This window comes from Homo sapiens, chromosome 1, assembly GCF_000001405.40.
Source record: "Homo sapiens chromosome 1, GRCh38.p14 Primary Assembly".
Lineage (NCBI taxonomy): Eukaryota > Metazoa > Chordata > Mammalia > Primates > Hominidae > Homo > Homo sapiens.
In genome coordinates, this window is record NC_000001.11 from 180,628,988 (window position 1) to 180,648,076 (window position 19,089).

At 39.7% G+C, this 19,089-nt stretch overlaps 1 protein-coding gene across 4 annotated transcripts in view, besides 4 other annotated features; it reads left to right on the top strand.

Annotated features, from left to right (window-relative positions):
- Nucleotides 2,899-3,399: an enhancer, noted in NCBI's record as "H3K27ac hESC enhancer chr1:180601022-180601522 (GRCh37/hg19 assembly coordinates)". NCBI's record gives its function as "activates a minimal SCP1, AML or CMV promoter by ChIP-STARR-seq in naive H9 embryonic stem cells {active_cell/tissue: H9 hESC(naive)}" and the evidence as "EXISTENCE:reporter gene assay evidence [ECO:0000049][PMID:30033119]".
- The window catches only part of XPR1 (xenotropic and polytropic retrovirus receptor 1), a 258,258-nt gene continuing 242,203 nt past the window's right edge, over nt 3,035-19,089 (top strand). For all 4 annotated transcript variants that reach the window (NR_137330.2, NM_004736.4, NM_001135669.2 and 1 more), the window contains exon 1: nt 3,035-3,283. Coding sequence is in view for 3 of the 4 variants with exons in the window: in NM_004736.4 (NP_004727.2) it covers nt 3,215-3,283 (69 nt within the window). In the remaining variant the exon portion in view is untranslated. The remainder of the gene's footprint in view (nt 3,284-19,089) is intronic.
- Nucleotides 3,395-3,774: a silencer, noted in NCBI's record as "silent region_1595". NCBI's record gives its function as "represses an Ori minimal core promoter by ATAC-STARR-seq in GM12878 lymphoblastoid cells {active_cell/tissue: GM12878}" and the evidence as "EXISTENCE:reporter gene assay evidence [ECO:0000049][PMID:35858748]".
- Nucleotides 3,395-3,900: a biological region, named in NCBI's record as "H3K27ac hESC enhancer GRCh37_chr1:180601523-180602023".
- Nucleotides 3,400-3,900: an enhancer, noted in NCBI's record as "H3K27ac hESC enhancer chr1:180601523-180602023 (GRCh37/hg19 assembly coordinates)". NCBI's record gives its function as "activates a minimal SCP1, AML or CMV promoter by ChIP-STARR-seq in naive H9 embryonic stem cells {active_cell/tissue: H9 hESC(naive)}" and the evidence as "EXISTENCE:reporter gene assay evidence [ECO:0000049][PMID:30033119]".

A 19,089-nucleotide genomic window follows, 5' to 3' on the forward strand; every position in this document is an offset into this window, starting at 1 on the left:
TTTAACAATTCTGACTTTGCCTTTTGCCTTAGGGAATCTTTGGGGTGTCTTTTTCCCTGTCAGATGATTGACTAAGACTGGATTTCAAAATCAGCTTCTCTGATCCTTGGATGTTTGTTTCTTTACACATATGTCAATTATAGCATGTATCGCACTGTAGCCTAAGAGCTATTGGTCTACCTGCCCATCTTTTTTTTTTTTGTTTGAGAGAGAGAGTCTTGCTCTGTCTCCCAGGCTGGAGTGCAGTGGTGCAATCTCGGCTCACTGCAACCTCTGCCTCCTGAGTTCAAGTGATTCTCATGCCTCAGCCTCCTGAGTAGCTGGGATTACAGGCATGTGCCACCAGGCCTGGATAATTTTTTTTTTTTTTGTATGTTTAGTAGAGATGGGTTTTCACCATGTTGGCCAGGCTGGTCTTGAACTCCTGACCTCAAATGATCCACCCACCTCGGCCTCTCAAAGTGCTGGGATTACAGGTGTGAACCGTCATGCCTGGCCCCATCTTTTTGACTAAATTGTGATTTCCTCCAAGGAAAAAACAGAGTCTTAATTTATTTTTGAACGGTCCTTCATTCCTAAAGTGACATAACCGGAATATCATAGGTCTCAATAAAGTTTTGTTAAATGAAGGGTTGCTTGCCTATTCACAAAAGAAAGTATAAGTCAGGGGGCTCTTCTGATTCAGAGTAAATAAGAGAGTCGGTGTTCCATAATTACTAAGTATTTGATGGTTCTATCAGTAAAATACCCAAAAATAACGCTGGGAATGAGGAAATGTATTTATTTACTTATTTTGAGACGGGGTCTTGCTCTGTTACCCAGGCTGGAGTGCAGTGGTGCAATCTTGGCTCACTGCAACCTCCACCTCCCGGGTTCAAGTGATTCTCTCACCTTAGCCTCCTGAGTAGCTGGGACTACAGGTGTGCACCGCCATGCCCGGCTAATTTTTGTATGTTTAGTAGAGATGGGGTTTCCCCATGTTGGGCAGGCTAGTCTTGAACTCCTGACCTCAGGTGATCCTCCCGCCTCGGCCTCCCAAAGTGCTGGGATTACAGGCGTGAGTTACTGTGCCTGGCAGGAAATTTATTATTAAATCTACTTCTGTGGATAAATTAAGTTGTCATGTCCTGGGTGGCAGGGCTCTGGATCAGGCATGAGAAAAATCAAGAATTTTAGAGCTAGTTTTGAGGGTTTCCTTACTTTCTTGGGTTGGGCCATGGTTCCAGAATTTTGTGCACAATTAAGGCATAGAGGTACGGTGCTGCTGGGAGCAGTGTGCCATGGTCCACCAGGGTTGCTACTAAGAATTTCCCATTCTAGTCCATGACTGGCTAAAGGCAGGAATCTCTTTTGTAGCTGTCCCTGGTTCCCTTTTCCCAGGCACAACATACAGCCATTTCCTTTCTGTGGTCTCGCCTCCTTCCTGGTAGCACACATATTCCTTTTTGCCTGTCTCTTTCTCCTGGCAAGGTTTACCTCCAGCAGAGGGGAATCTTTATGGTGAGCAGACGGAGGTCTGAGGTGAGAGGAGTCCTCACTCTTCTTTCTTTATTTTTTTGACCTTGATTACCCTTTCACCAGAGGTTAAGGCTTTTATACAGAAAAAGCCAGAAAGACTCATAGTCTATGCCTATTTTCCATCTTGTGTCATCCCTCTCCTGGGGAAATGATTGCAGAATCCCTATTGGCATGAATTAAGGGGAAGAGAAAGGGGAAAAAAGTACATGGAGAAAAAAAGACAACAGCAGAGAATGATATCTCAGAGCACTGCTCCAGGCATAGCAGTTCCCTAGTAAATCTTGAAATCTCATCAAAATTGTGAGGGTTAGGCTGAGCAAGGTGGCTCATGCCTGTAATTCCAGCACTTTAGGAGGCCTAGGTGGGAGGACTGTTTTAGCTCAGGAGCTCAAGACCAGCCTGGGCAACATAGCAAGACCCACATCTCTCCCAAAAATAAACAAAAAAATTAGTTTGGCATAATGGCATGTGCCTGTAGTCCCAGCTACTCAGGGGGCTGAGGTGGGAGGATGGCTCACAAACCTATGTGAGGTAAGGCTGCAGTGAACCATGATGGTGTGACTGCACTCCAGCCTGGGCAACAAAGCGAGACCAAAAAAAAAAATGTTAGAATCAAGGGACAAAGTACATGTAAGAGGTTTAGAATAGCACTTGGTACAGGAACAGTGAGTGCTCAATAAATTATTATTAGGTCTCCTCCACCCAGGGTAGGACCTGGGTTTCTGTCCTGAATTGGGACTTCCAAGACAATCACTCCCACACTCAATGTAGTACAGAGCTCTGTGAGTGATCTCTGCCCATGTTCCCCAGGGACACTTCAGCCTGGGTGCTGGGCCTGTTTCCGGTTTTACTGGGGTGGGCTTAGAGCTGTACTTCTACGGGGTTCTCTTTCCTCTCAACGTTGGTTTCCCTCCCAACCCTCACCCCCAACCCCAGGAAGCTCAGTTTACAAGTGCGGTCGGTACCCTCATTTGGTGTTTTTATTGGCTTTTCTGATAGCCCCTGGACTAGACAATTACATTGAAATTCAGAAGCAGCATGCACTTTTTGGCATTGATGTCTTTAATTAAATTCAATAAGCACTTATTGAGCACCTAGAGTGTGTAAAATACTGTTCCTTTAAATACATTTAGTCCTGAACTGTTTTAGCTTCTTAGTTTGGATTAGTGCTGATCCATTTCTTAAAGGTTTTATGAAGCATAAATATCAAAATGGAAAAATATTTGCACAGTTCTTTGTAAATATAAACGTCTTGTGTGGATTATTGTTGCTACAGTATTAATATTAACTGCAGTAACAACACTGCTGCTTCCCAGACAGGCGGTAGAAAGCAGCTGTAGGCCAACAGGAGCCAGACTGAAGAGATCCAGGGAGGTGCCTCCAGCACGTACGGCCCACAAGGGGCGGAGTCTTAAGAAGCGTACCCAAGCCCCACCCCTTACAGCACCCCCTTCGTCAGGGCGGTGTAGGCGGTTACCATGGCGATGACGTCCAGAGGGCGGGGAGGGGCGGGGCTATGGAGAGGAGGAGGAAGATGGCGGGCGGGCTGCTCTGAAGAGACCTCGGCGGCGGCGGAGGAGGAGAGAAGCGCAGCGCCGCGCCGCGCCGGGGCCCATGTGGGGAGGAGTCGGAGTCGCTGTTGCCGCCGCCGCCTGTAGCTGCTGGACCCGAGTGGGAGTGAGGGGGAAACGGCAGGATGAAGTTCGCCGAGCACCTCTCCGCGCACATCACTCCCGAGTGGAGGAAGCAATACATCCAGTATGAGGTACCGGCACGGCTGGGGTGTGGGAGGACTCGGAGGGGCCACCATCTCGCCAGTCCTGACGTCCACCGCCGCCTTCCGCTTCAGCTGGCTCCCTGTGCCCGGGCAGACTTTGACCCGCTGCCGCGGGGAGCCACTGCGGCATCCCCGCCGCGGCCGGCCGCCTCCCGGCTCCGCTGTCCTTCCCCTCCCCCGCAGCCCCGCTGCCGCCGGGGTAACGGATATGCAGGCGGAGGGCCGGGAGGAAAGGCGCTGCCCGGGCCGGGGCCGGGGCCGGGGAACGGTGGGAGGGTGAGCTGCAGGTGGGGGAGTCACGGTGCGAGGGCAGCCCCGGGTCGCGGCTGTTCCGCGCTAATCCCCTTCTCCCCACTCGCCCTGACCTCTCGTCCCCACCCTGGGCGAGCGCCCCCTCGCCAAGGTTAGGTCTTGTTTCTCTCTCTACACCTCTCACCAAGGAATCCTTGTCTTCCAAGAGAAGCCCCTCCAGTGATTTCCTTCATTCCAAAGAGCCCTTCGGCTTTTTCCCACTTGCCCACTGTTGACAAAGGCTTTGTAACGGGGTTGAAACTTGACTTAAGTGTGTATCACATATGTAGTGGTTATAGTTTTTGTAAACACGTTGTAATCAACTATTCTGCTTTGATAATAAGACTCTTTTTACTGATTGCATGAAGTCTACAGAGTAATAACATCTTTGTTTTTGCCTCTTGTTTTGGAATGGAGGGAAGAGAAAGGAGAGAAGAGAATTATTAACATTTTTTTATTTTCTGCTAAGTTTTTGCTAGCTGGGGAGAAAATTAGTATATTGTAAACAATATACCTTACCTGTGTATTACAGAAATCATGCTCCCCATTCCCTCCCAATTTCTGTGCTAACACTGCTGGAAGGTATTTAATAGATAATAAGGAACCTTACATTAATAAAGGGAAAAATAAAGATAATGAACCCATTTATATGTTCAGAAGACAAGATACCTAAGAGGCTTTAAGCATTGCAATAGGTTATTCTCAGTAGCTGGCAATTCAGCTCCTGGATAGAGAAAGACAGACTTATCTGTAACCTCCAGGAATTCACATCTGTTTTGTGTGCAGGAACAAAGAATATAAAATCAATATGAACACACATAACTTAGCTAGATTTTATGAATTAAACTATTTTAGTTCTCCATTTAATTTTTATATAAGTTTAGTGATAGGAGGTTTGGGCAATAGCAGTGAGTGTATTTATTCATATAGCCATTGTAATAATTGAAGAAGACAGGGAAAGAGATGCAGGTAGGTTAAACGGAATCTTGAATATTGTGAAATAAATTCACTTGCAACCTAGAGTATTTCATTATTGCTAGAAATGAAAGGCCTATAATTATTAATGCTTTATTGTCACTCAATTTCTTACAGTATTTTGTGGCCATGTTTTGTAAGAATGAGTGAAATAAGGGACTAACATTTCAGCCTGCAGAGTTGATTTATTGTTTCTAATAACATTTAGTTTTAAAACCTTGGCTAGAATCCAAGTGATGGTTTTTATTGAAAGAAGGGTATTGGTCTTTCATCTTTCTAGTAGTAATTTTCAGCACCACTGCCAGTTCTTCACAGAGGCACAGGATAGGAGCATGCTGAAGCACATCTTATATTTGTTATGTAGCATGGAATGCTTTGGGCAGAAGTAATAGTGGCTGGATGTATGCCATGATTCATTTTAGGTATTTCGACACTTAACTATTTCATGGAATTGTATTAATTTGCAATATCTGGGGCTGGAAGGAGAAGCATACGATTTAGTTTGAAAATGCAACCCTCTTAATTTGTAATGTCAGTTTTGTGGCTGGAGAACCACATTGATTCTGGGACTCCTCATTCACATAGTCCACTTGGATACTGTTCCTAAATGTTTACTGTAGGTTGGTCACAGAGGGGCAAAATTCCTGAGATTATGTTGTGTCTGCATTATCTTTCTCAGGGCAGTTATAAATTATGTTTTGAAAAATTCGTTTATTGTGGATAATTGAAATTTGATTCTGCGGAGAGTTCCTACTATATGGCTCCTGTCCTAGATAAACTCATTGTTTGGTAGACAAAATTAAATGAGGCGCACTTTTCTTTGTAAGTTGGAATCAACCAATATTTTATAGGGTTGGAATCTTGTTTTGTGTGTTGTTTCTGAAGAGTTGGTGCTATTCCTTTAAAAGTAATAGAGAGATGTAAATAAGAGTCTTTAGAGTCCAGGAATTTTAGCAGTTTAAAACTTTGGGGAAAAAGGACATCCATAAAAATTCTCTAGAGAAAAGGACCTTTTCATAATGAATTAAATTGTAGTTTCTCATATGAAGATGATGCTCTTAAAATGCTATCAGTAGAACAGATGCTGGGATTTGTTTTTCAAGCACTGGTGGTGAAATTTTTGTATTTTACCCTTGGTTTCTAGCCTAGGGTGCTTTCTAGTATCGTGAATCAATGTGAACTGTTCAGCTTCTTTGGTTTTTGTGTCATTTTGCTATATTAAATATTACTTGAAATAAGCAGAGAATTAGAATCTGAAAATTTTGTTTTACATCTGTAATTATATTTAATTATATATAATATGTATATATTGTAGCACAGTAAATACTAGTTTTTGTATGTGTTAGCCATGAGACCTGGGGACAATCTTTTTTGCCTTTCCCGGGCTCGCTCTTCTTCCATAAAGTAAGTATATAGGGCCAGAGCTTTTCAAGGTCCATTATAGGTCATGTTTTTGATTTAACTTTTAATGGCTTTTATTCCTTGAACTGATAAAATTATTAATGATAATAACCCATCAATATCCTGAAAATTATTATGTTTTTTAATTTAAAAATAAGTTGTGGTGTTCATAGATTCAGTCTTCATAGGCAGAATAATAAAGCATAAAATAACAGACCAACATGGAGAAGCCATATAAAGAAAATCTCTTCAATCCATTTGTAAGTAGTTTGTGCAAAGAATAAACACAAACAAGCCGAGACTATTCCTGTTTCCAGTAATCTGTTTGAGTATAAATTTTGACATGTAAAATAGAACACCGGTAAATCTTTGTAAGAGCTTTTTTAAAATTTAGAATTAGTGACTATATATTTTAAAGCTCTGCAATTGATTAATCAAAATTAACTGAGACTGGTTTCAACCAAATAGACTAATATGACCATGTTAATATTTTGCAGAATATTAGCAGAAGAAGCAAATATATTTGGTGCCTTAGGCTGCTGACTTTCCCTAGGGCCTTGTGTTTCTTTGGTTTCTCAGGACCCAGGAATGATTTTTTTCAGTGTATCCTTTGTTTTGTAATAAAATAACAAGGTTTCTAAATTACAGGATTTTAGAGCTAAAAGGGAATTTAAAGATTATCTACCTTGTTTTTCCAGGCAAGGAAACTAAGGTCCAGAGGGGTTAAGCCACTTGTTTAGGAATATGTGTATATGTCTCTTGAGCATGTGTAAGCATTGAGAGTCCGGTCACACTGTGTGATCCTGATGAAACCATTTCTTCTTTTAGCTAAGAAACATCTGAGTTTCTTTAATGTTAGAGAATTGGACTTGATTTCTAAGCTCACAACCCCCGTATTATTTAAGGACTCATCCAGCTCTAAAATTCTGTGTTTTTAAATGGTTTTATTATGTTTGGTATATGAAGAGGACAGAACTTAACAGGAGTATTAATAGCATCCTTTAAAATTAATAATATCCTTTCAAAAATTTTTGATATTTTGATCTGTGAATAAGATGTTAACCCAGTGAAACTCTCTTATTTAACTTAAAAAGGGATGACGATGAATTAATTTTTTATTGCAGGATTTTGGAAAGGAGAGGTTCTGCATGAACTACACTTCCATTATATTCAGGTATAAGGAGACATTACCATAACATTATTAACGATTTTCATTTATAGAACTCTCCCATGGGAACACTTGTGTTACAGGCTTCAGTTTCCCAAAGGTATTATGTTGATTAGGTAGGTTTAACTTGAGTTGCTGCAACTTGTTTGAAATATCCAGTTTGGCCACCCGATGGGGCACAAACCACACTTTTTCTTTCAGACACTTTTGTAAATCAAAGTATAGTATAGTGTGTTTAAGATAACACTTGTAAATGATTGCGTCAATGAGATGGTTGGCATTTACAAATGTTTCTTAAGTGAGTGAATGAATGTTGTAAAGACAGGAAGCTATAACTATTCTTTATCATCTTTAAGTGTGTCAGCGTGAGTATGCTGGAAAGATTATACTTGTCCGTTTATCCTGAAGGTTGGTTTTGGATCAGCTTTTGGGTGAAGGCCCAGATCATAAGAACCTAAGAATCTTATTTGACCTGGGGTGACCATGGAAACTTAGTCCTAGCTTCAAATTCAGTCCTAATCTGGGAAGCATTTAAGAGAATGATTGAGTTGTGCTGGGTAAGGATTTCAGGTATATTTGAGTTGTAGGCCCCAAAGGAGTGTGCCCAAAACTCCCATGGAGTAAAGAGAAGACAGTATTAGAAAAGTAAGGGGGCTGGACACGGTGGCTCACGCCTGTAATCCCAGCACTTTGGGAGGCCGAGGCAGGCGGATCACTTGAGGTCAAGAGATTGAGACCATTCTGGCCAACATGGTGAAACCCCATCTCTACTAAAAATACAAAAATTAGCTGAGTGTGGTGGTGCATGCCTGTAGTCCCACCTACGCGGGAGACTGAGGCAGGAGAATCGATTGAACCGGGGAGGCGGAGGTTGCAGTGAGCTGAGATTGTGCCACTGCACTCCAGCCTGGCAACAGAGTAAGACTTCATCTCAAAAAAAAAAAAAAAAAAAAAGGAAAAGTAAGGGAAGACAGAACTGTTAATTTTACTTATTTTTATGCATAAGAAAAGGAAGAAATACAATTTTACTAGTATTTAATAAATGGATTGATGCAGTACCCCTGCTAAGGAGGTCATGCACAGGTATACTGAAGAAAACAGAAGGATTGCCAGTGGCTTTTTCACTTGTTTGTTCGCTTTGGCAGATAATCATTAATCCAGTTATGGGTGCATAATTAAATGAATCTATAAATTATTATCTAGTTTTAGCCAAATCAACCGCTAGGAAATAGACATGTCTTAAAAAGACTCCTGTAAAGATTCCATAACAGTAATACCAATAATGCAAGCACAAGTGAACAACAAGAAAATGACAACAGAGCTGAGGTTTCTCCTTCTAGTACTAGCTTTTTGGCAGCCAAATTACAGATAAAAACAATAACACTTTAGTAGACTTGACAAGAAGTTCGCCAAAAATTTAAAAATTATTAAGCTAATTCTTTTTTCTTTTTCCTGAGACGGAGTCTTGCTCTGTCACCCAGGCTGGAGTGCAGTGGCCTGATCTCAGCTCACTACAACCTCCGTCTCCCAGGTTCAAGCCATTCTTGTGCCTCAGCTTCCCAAGTAGCTGGCATTACAGGCGCGCGCAACTACATCCAGCTAATTTTTGTATTTTTAGTAGAGACAGGGCTTCACCATGTTGGCCAGGCTGGTCTCGAACTACTGTTCTCACGTGATCCGCCTGCCTCAGCCTCCCAAAGTGCTGGGATTACAGGCATGAGCCACCACTCCTGGCCTAAGCTAACTCTTTGAAGTAAGGTTTTACATCTACTGTCAGTCACAATGAACTTGACTGTAAGTGTATATATTATGAGTATTCTGCCTTTGTAAGGTCTGTTTTTTCAGTTTATAGCCATTAATTAAGTTTCAAAATCAAATGAATCCTGAACTTTGAACTGGACCTTTGAAACACTGTATCATAAAATGTTAAATGAAGGTTTTATTTATTTAAAAAACTTTTTTGTTTTTTTAATGAAGATTAAAAAAATGAAACTTTTCAGTTATGTTCTCTCAAAGCATTGTTATTGATAATTTCTTAGATCAAAAATATTTTTGTACTGTTCATAAATGAAAGGTAGAAATTATTTCATCCTTGTGTCATCTTTTTAAAACTTCTATTTTAAACAATTTTGTTTTACATTGTACACAGATACAGATGGGTATAATTAATAAATAAATATGCATATATTGGAGATACATAATAAAACTTTTTTTAAATAGGGATTTGACATAATAAAAGTTTGGAAGACTTTGCCCAACTTGTACAGATTAACCACAGCTGGTTTGTGGGTTGCCTGGTATTGAGGTGGCCTTTGGGAATGAGAGAGTGTCAGACTTCACCAGGGTTCTTGCCCAGTGTATTTGCCTTTTCAGGTCTTTCCTTATCTAGTAAATGCTAAAAGAAGCCAGCAGAGAAAGCTCATGAACAAATACCTTACAAATCATTCGTTCATTCCACAAATTTATAGAAGTCTTCCTTTGCTATAGGCTGATTTGTCATTAAATGCTAGCTTTCAGTACCTTAAAAATAACAGAAAAAAACCAAAACACACACACCCCAAATTTGTGTGTATGTGTGTATTTGGTTTTGTATTTCAGTCAACATAGTATTTTTAAAATTAAAAAGTGGTGTAGAAAGGGAAGACTGAAGATTGAGGACTTGGAACATGGATATAAATTTGTATTACTTTTGTATAAATTTGTATTACTTTTGTAATACAAATAAATCTTGTACTACTTTATACTTCTGTATAAATTTGGATTACTTTTGTAACTTAAGTTATATTCCTTTAAAGTCTTAGTTGTTTACTCAGACTGATATTTAGTCACCTATTTCTTCCCATCACCAAGCAAGTGTGGTATGTATAGGGACTGATCAGAAAATGTTTTAAAAATTAGGCTGGGCATGGTGGCTCACACCTGTAATCCCAGTACTTTGGGAGGCCAAGGCAGGCAGATCGCCTGAGATCAGGAGTTCGAGACCAGCCTGGCCAACATGGTGAAACCCCATTTCTACTAAAAATACAAAAATTAGCTGGGTGTGGTGGCGTGTGCCTGCTACTTGGGAGGCTGAGGCACAAGACTTGCTTGAACCCAGGAGGCGGAGGTTGCAGTGAGCTGAGATAGCACCACTGCACTCCAGCCTGGGTGACAGAGTGAGACACTGTCTGAAAAAAAAAAACACCCTTTAAAAATTGTTTATTTGCTAGGGAGTCAAAGGAAAATATAATTAATCTACTGTAAACATAACTTAAAATTTTCATAATCTCTATAACAAGAGGCTTAATATATTGATTAAGAAAACATAGTCATCTTTTATTAATTGAGGATGACCTGCTGTATTAGAAAGACCTTGGACCAGAAACCAGATATAAATCCTAAAATCCAGTTCTATCATTGACTATTCGTAAATAACTAGTGAACAAGTGATTTTTTTCAAGGACTGAAATTTAATCATAGAGAAAAGTGAGAAGTTTTTAGGTTATTTTTATGTGAGTTACTTATCTAGGCTAAATTTGTTAAAGTCGTAATTCATAGGGTAATCCATGTGCTTTGTGGGCTTTTTTTATACCTTAGAGTAGTGGCTCTCAAACTTTTTGGTTTCAGGACCACTTGAAACTCTTAACAGTTATTGAGGATTCCAGTGTACATCGATACATATACTGTATTAGAAGTTTGAAGATAGCCTGAAAAAAGGTTCTCTAGTCTTATCAAACATGGAAGAGGATAAAGGAGTTCCCTGGGTGAGGAGTGTCTGGTATCTGCCCTACAGCAAGGACAATAGAGAAAAGAAAGTTGGCTTCCCTGGATCTCATGTGATCCCTAATTCTACTCTCCTTTCTTTAAATTGAATTAGCAGAAGTGTGGTAAGCTTGTCATTAAGGAGAAAGGAATTAACATTTATTGAGCAGTTAGGAACCAGGTGTCAGCTGTTTTACATATGTTATCTCAATGTTCACAGTAGTTTTGTAAGATAGATGATTTATTATCTCCATTTTACTGATGAGGAAACCCAGGCTTAGAGAGATCAGTAATTTGCTTAAGGCTCTATACTTAGTAAGTAAATGGAACCAGAATTTGAAATTAAATCAAATCAGACTGTGGAGCTGTTGCTTTTATATGGAAATTGTAAATAACAGCAGTGGTGGTAGTAGTGGCAATAACAGCAGCTGTTATTTTTTGAGCGCTTACTGTATCAGGCACTGTGGTAAGTTCTTTAAAAACACCTCTTATAGCGTAGGTTGTTAGCTCCGTTTCTAGATGGTGGAGACTGAATCTCGGAGCCATTAGGTAACTGATTATGTTGATAGTAATTGTGGATAGCTAATTGTGGAGATTGTAAGAGCCCATGCTCTTAATTTCTATGGCGTACTGTTTTATGAAAAATGAATAAATCCATCCACTTAAACATGCATACATTTAGGCCTGGTCTGACCTGTTCTTAGGCACCGCTGACCTTTCTACAGCCCAGTGAAGTAATGGCGGGTCTATTTTTAGTCCCAGGTCTTAGTCTGCATAGTTTGGAGATAGTAGAGTGTGGTCTGTAGGATAGTGTTCACCTCTGTTAAATTATATTTCCCTCAAGGTTATCAGTGTAACTATTACTGGACAGCCAGCTGGTAAATAAAGGAACTTACGAAGATAAATCAGAAGAAAAAGGTAAGGAGATAAGGTGATAAGGGTAAAAAGAGGAGGACAAAAGTGGACAGCTGTTTGCTGTGCTACAGTTTTGGTGTTTGGCTTCTGGATCATAAATCATGGAATGTTAGACTTGTAAGGAACTTTTAAGCTTATTTAGCTCAACTTCCTTTTTTACCCAAATGGGAAAAGAGGTTAAGTGATTCAGGTTATATGGTTTTGTTTGTAGCTGAGTTAACACAATCACCCTGATTCATTTTATTGCTCATTAGTTTATATAATATGCTAGTATATTAATAACACATAGAAAAAAACTCTGAAGCCAGTCTACCTAAGTTTATATTCCAGCTCCACCAACATACTAGTTGAGTGACTTCAGGCAAGTCAGTTAACCTTTTTGTGCTTCAGTTTCCTCATCTGTAAAACAGGGATAATAATAGTACTTACAGGATTGTTGTGAGGATTAAATGAGTTAAAAATATGAAAAGTGTTTAGAACAATACCTGGCACATAGTAACAGCAATAAATTTCCTATTAAAATTATTTCTTCTGCAGAGCTCAACAATACTAAATAATGTTTGGCTAATATTATTTTTGACTGGGAAAGTGAGACTCAAAGCTTGTTCCTCCAGGTTTGTCCAGTTTAGGTTTTCATGGAAAATGGCTTTGTTGATTTTTTGCTAATATTTTTCTTAATAAATCACTCTTAACCTTTTTGTACAGAGTAAGAAAACCAGGTGAGAACAATTATGTGGCTGTGAGGTAAGTTAGTTCTCTTGTAACTTGTGTTCATCTCAGTTATAGACTGTGTCTGTATATTTGTTTTTAGAATTGAGGTGAAATTTGCATGTGTTATTAAGTATGTCTGAATGGCTTAAGTGAGTTGCTTGAGTTTTTAGTGGGTATCTGATTTTAGTTCTTTTCAATTTTCTAGTGAAAATTTAATTTTTAATCTTTTTTAGAGTTGAAAGAGACCTTCTCAACCCCTCTGTTTTACAAATGAATAAATTGAGAGCAGAGATGCCAAGATACCTGGTCAGAGTCTCATGACTAGCTAATAGCAGAGCCTGATATAAGAATATTGGCCTTCTGCTTACTGCTGTATCTTGTTAAGGCTTATCATTGCTGTATAAACATTGCTTTGAAATTTTAAGAATGAAGTTTCTTTGTAAGAGTCAGTAGGGATTTAAATGTTCTTGTTAATGATTACTCAGATACTCTGCATTAATACATTTATCTGTATCTAATCCATTAGATTCCATTAACAACCTGAAATAGTTCTTGCAAATGCCAATTAAAAGACTGGGTAAATTAATGATGTTATTATTTACCCAACAACAAGAAAGTTCGGCATTGCCCTATTTAGTTATGGTCACAAGTGGAAACCTATCTTGAGTGAGGAGATAGGACCGAGGAATTATGCTGAGGCTTGAGGGGTCAGGTAACAATGAAAGCAAGACTCAGGAAGGTTTAGAAATGAATTGGCCTCGTTCCTCTGTAACATTTTAATGTTAGCACAGGTTACATGTGTTGCCTGTACATGAAGAGTGTATCCTTTACCTGTAACCCAAATTGCCAAGCCAAAGTCAGAGCATATATGGGTAGAGAAGATAAGAATATGAATGAAACCAGTTTACTAAGTATACATGACTGTCCCCTTTCTTTTTTTTTAAAAAAATAATAAAACAATAATGAGGATAATAACAACAGCTCATGTTTGTTGAGTGCTCTAGTGTGCCAGGCATTTTACATTTAATCCTTACCTTCTAAGGTAGGTTTTGTTATCCCCATTATAAGAAGATACTGAGTCTGAGATGAAATAGATTGCCCAAGGTCATGTAGCTAGGGAGTGTTAGAACCAGAATTCAGACACAGGTATGACACAGATATTTCAGACACTGAATTCTTAACTTGGTATTATGCTGTCAGGTAATATAATAAGTAAGACTTAGTTCCTGCCTTAGAGGAGTTCTTAATTTGGGTGGTCTCCTGATCACAGTATGTACTGTGATTATGTTATAGAGGAATGACCAATTGATTTTGCTCTAGAGTGTAAAGACGTTTATCTTGGAAGGATCTGCAGAGGTGGTGTTTGAAATGGGTACTAGAGATTGAGTATGATGTTAACACATAGTGAAGAGGGGAAAGGGCACCTGGGGAAATCTAGGAGTTAGAGTAATAGAGAACAGAGACAAAGATGAGTGGAAGTATCCAAACATAGTTAATGCAATCTGGTTTAGTTAGATATGTTGAAGAGCTGGTAAAGTGAAGTTGGGAAGGTGAGCTGGGAGGGATGAAAGACTGAAGGGTGTGTAATACCATTCTAAGAAGTTTAAACATTTTCCTGGTATGAAGCATTAAGGATTTTAAAGAAGAGATTGGGAGAGGGGTTAGTTCAAAGTGAGGTGTGTAATCTAGATCTTGGAGGATACTTTGGAGAGTGCAAGACCAAAGACAGGAAAACCAAACAGCATAGCCAAGGATAATGAAGGCTTGAATTAATACCTTATTTAGTCAATCTTAATATGTGCTTTTTTTCACATTTTAACATCTGAAATCAGGGTATGTCTTATAATTAATGCTATGCCATAGTTTAATTGGCAGACATTTTTCCATTCTTAGAAGCACATAAAATAATGGTGTATGTTGTTATTAGTGGCGTTCTAGATTTGATGAAATACAACAGTAATAGCATAACATTCACTGAATGCCTACTATTTGTCAGACAGAGTAGTAGATACTTGTCAGTGTCCATCATCTAGCACAGTGTGTTTGTCACATTTAGCAACTCACATATTTGTTGAATGAATTATCTCATGTGATCCTTACAGCAAGCCTGTTGACATAGGTGTTTAGCCCATTTTATAAGAAAATAGAGTCTCATATTTAAGTAATTGTCCAAAGTCAAACAGCTAGTTAATGGTGGAGTTAAGATAATGAACCTAGGTCTGCCTTACTTCAGATTCCATTTTTTTATCACTGTGGATGCTCTGTGGTTCCACTGAGATAGGAAGAGGGTTGAAGAAGAAGAGTGGATTTGAAATTTGGTAGAACTATTAGGACTTTCACTGAAGGGATAAATAAATGCTGATGGAGTTCAAGTAGAAGGTGCATTTGAGGTCACTGTGTTGCTTGGGAACACCATTTGACTGGCTGCCAAGAAGCCTCTTAGAATGTCTTTACTCTGATGAATTCGGTGTGGCCCAGGTTCTCATCAGAATTTGGTCTTTTCCATAACTCTGGATTGATGGGGCTTGGGCAATAGTATATAACTAAGTGATTGATTGAATGATATTAAGCTCACATGGGAGTGATGTGTAAACATCTGGGTGGCAAATTACTAATTTACAACGAGAAATGTACCTAATGTTCACATTCTAGGCTAAAATACGTTTTTCCTGTCACCAAGCTGTGAAGGGAGATACATAATTACTAGAAGGTGGCTGGCTGATTATATACTATAATTAGAAAGAGAGAGTTAATGATGCATTTATTTAATGCTGTTAGGCCAGTGTCCCACAGTGTTTAAATGGGTCAGGTCCTCGGGTAGGGGTGTCTTCTTCCTGGATTATGCTTATATGTGCTGCCGTTGTTTTGAGACTTTCCTTTTCCTATACTTTTAATGTTGGCTCTCCCTCTTCTGATTTACTTTTTTTTTTTTTTTAAGATAACGTTAATACTACTGATACTGGTCTGTGACTTTTTTTTTTAACTTTGCATCTATCTTCTCATCTATTGTATGTGAAGTTTAGAGTTTAGTTGGATTCCAACAGACTAATTTGAATTTGGATCTCATTATTTATTAGATGTAAGGACCTCTCTGAGCCTTAGATTCTACCTGTAAAACAGTGGAAATATCTTTCTCAGTAATTACGATGTTGAGATAGTATGTATGTAAAACACCTAACCTATATGTTACAGGCCAGTGGTTCCCAACCTTTTTGGCACCAGGGACCGGTTTTGTGGAAGACAGTTTTTCCACATACCAGGGGGAGGGGGAGTGGTTTTGGGATGATTCAAGCGTGTTACGTTTATTGTGCACTTTATTTTTATTATATTTACATTGTAGTATATAATGAAATAATTATAGAACTCAACATAATGTAGAATCAGTGGGAAGCAGCGCTTGTTTTCCTGCAACTAGATGGTCCCATCTGGGGCTGAGGGGAGACAGTGACACACAAAGTGTGTTGCTTATGTTCAGTCTACTCCGTAATCTGGTTTTGGTTGCTGTCATTGCAGAAAACCTGCTTCACAAAGATAGGAAGTTGGAAATGGAAGCAGGCTTTTCAGTGCTTTTGTGATAATCTCAGGACATTCTGCCTTGACTTGAATCCAGAATGTGTGGAAATTTGAAGTTGTCTCAGACACACTTTTAAGTCCACCGTCATTTGTGATCTCAAGCAGTTGCTCTTCTAGCATGGACAAAGCCAGTTCACCTGGTTTATTCACAAATAGATTGCGGATCCATTCTTTCCCAGTTTGGGGGTCTTTTGTAGTTGGGAGGTAATGCTTAAATTCTTTGGAAAGCTGAGATAGGTGATCATGCACCAGCTGGGAGAAAGAAGGCCCTGGCTCAGTCTCTTTCAAAATCTCTGCTAATGTTTGAAACATGTCAGAAATCTCAGTGTTCACTTGTCGCTCCCATAATTCCAGTTTGGCTTTGAATGCAGCCACTTTATCTGCCGACTTGATCACAGTTGTCCATCTCTCCCGAAGTGACAGATTGAGTTTGTTGAGCAGGTTGAATGTGTCACACAAGTTAAGTTTTGCGACCCATTCTGTGTCACAGAAATATGCTGCTAGTGGTGACTGCTTTTCTGAAATCTCTGGAGCGGCTCTTGTAACTAAAGAACTCTGGCCAGTGATCTACCTTTAGAAAGCCCTCTCACTAAGAGAAGATGTGTGTGCTCTGCATCCATCTCCTCACAGAGCTGTGCAAACAGATGTGAGTTAAGGGCATGTACTTTAATGTTAATAATTTTAGTCACATCTTGCAAAATATTGTTCAGGTGACATTTTTCAGCTAGCCAGCATTTCTCTGTGGATGACACAGTACATAGACTCAACATTTGGAAGTGACCTCTTTGACCCGAGCAGTGAAACCAGAAAGCCGTCTAGTCATGGCAGCTGCTCTGTCCATGCATATACCAACATAAAATGACCAATTCAGTTTTCCTGATATTTAATGATTCAAAAACTTGAATAGTTCTGCAGCTGTGGTGTTGGTTGGCAACAAAAGTGCACATAATATATCCTTATGTATATTCTCCTGAAAACATGTAACACAAAAACAAGTATTGTTACCTTGTTGTTAACGTCGGTAGACTTGTCAACCTGGATTCCATACCACGGTTCCCATTAATGCTAACAATTGTGCCTCTGTATCCTCTGCTGTTTCATCCATTTGTCTAGTTACAGTGCAAGCCAAAAGAGGAACACATGCCACCTTTTGAACTGCAGCCTCTCCGTAAAGGTCATGACAAACGTCCTTAGCAGCAGACACGATCAACTCTTCACCAATAGTAAAGGGCTTCTTAGCTTTATCAGTGTGGTTAGCCACTAAGAATGATGCTCTCAGTGCAGACACATTGATGAAGTGGTGGCTTTCAATAACTGCTTCTGTTCTTCATGTTCATGTTTTTTTTTTTCTTTCGAAAAAGACTTGTCTTTTAATGTAGGGTGCTTGGTCTCCAGGTGATGAAGTAGTTTTGAAGGTTTCATGGCTTTCTTGGATAGCTGGTCGCCACATATACAAAGCTGGCTTGGAGAATATGAATCACCTGTTGCAATGAACCTATTATTTAAGTAGGAGCCTTGGTATTTTCTTTTAAATGCAGCTTTCTTTTTTTTGGCAGTCTTAGAACCCTCTGCTGTCTCATCATTGGGTCTTTTCCCCTATTCAAAGAAGCTCTCTGCTCACATTTGTTTTTTACTCATTTTGGCTAGGGTTAGCTTGTGGGCTTACCGAAACTGTGACCGAGACAAATGCGCAGTGCAGGAAAGAGGCGTGGGTGGAAGTAGTAAATAAAATAATGGGTGGGCCATGCATGGACTGAAATAAGTGTTGGATTCTGACTTAAAGCCTGCCACCAGATGCAGCTGTACAATTGATGTACATCAATCCTCTTTCTACTATAAAGCCTACCACAAGATGCAGCTTAATTGTCACTTACCACTCACTGGTAGGGTTTTGATAAGAGTTTGTAAGCAATTGATTTATTATGGTCTCTGTGCAGTCAAACCACTCTGCTAATGTTAATCTGTAATTGCAGCTGCTTCACAGCACTAGCATCACTGCCTCAGCTCCACCTCAGATCATTAGGCATTAGATTCTCATAAGGAGCAGCAACCTAGATCCCTCGCATGCGCAGTTCACAATAGGGTTCACCCTCCTATAAGACTCTAATGGCACTGCTGATCTGACAGGAGGCAGAGCTCTGGCCATAATGTGAGCAATGGGGAGCCGCTGTAAATATGGATGAAACTTCGCTTGCTCGCTTGCCCACTGCTCACCTCCTGCTTTACACTACTGTAGATTTTATATAAACATTGTACAGTTAGCCTACACTAAATTCATAAAAATTGTGCTTTAACATTATGATGGCTACAACAGTTGTGACTTTACTAAGGCAATAGGAATTTTTCAGTTGTATTATAATCTTATGAGACCACTGTTGTATATGTGGTCTGTTGTTGACCAAAACGTCGTTATGCTGTGCATGACTATTTTATTATCAAACTAGGCCAGGCACTTGACTACTGTAGGTTTTGTCATTGTCATTCTTCTTCATTGCGTTCTAAGGAAAGCAGCCTTGGCAACTGTCTGAGTAGGCAAGCTTTAGAATATAGCACTAGCCAGGCTGGGCATCGTGGCTCACACTTGTAATCCCAGCATTTTGGGAGGCCAAGGTGGGTGGATCACCTGAGGTCGGGAGTTTGAGACCAGCCTGGCCCAACATGGTGAAACCCCATCTCTACTGAAAATACAAAAATGAGCCAGGGTATGGTGGTGCATGTCTGTAATCCCAGCTACTCCAGAGGCTGAGGCACGAGAATTGCTTGAACCCAGGATGTGGAGGTTGCAGTGAGCCGAGATCACCCCACTGCGCTCCAGCCTGGGTGACAGAGTGAGACTCTTATCTGCAAAAAAAAAAAAAAAAAAAAAAAGGAATATGGCAGTAGCCAGTAGATCTTTCTGCAGTGTAGGTGTTCTATATCTGCATTGTCCAATATGTGGCCACTAGTCAGATGTGGTTGTTTAGCATTTGAAATTTGGTTAGATAGACCAAGGACCTGAATATTTAATTTTAGTTTACTA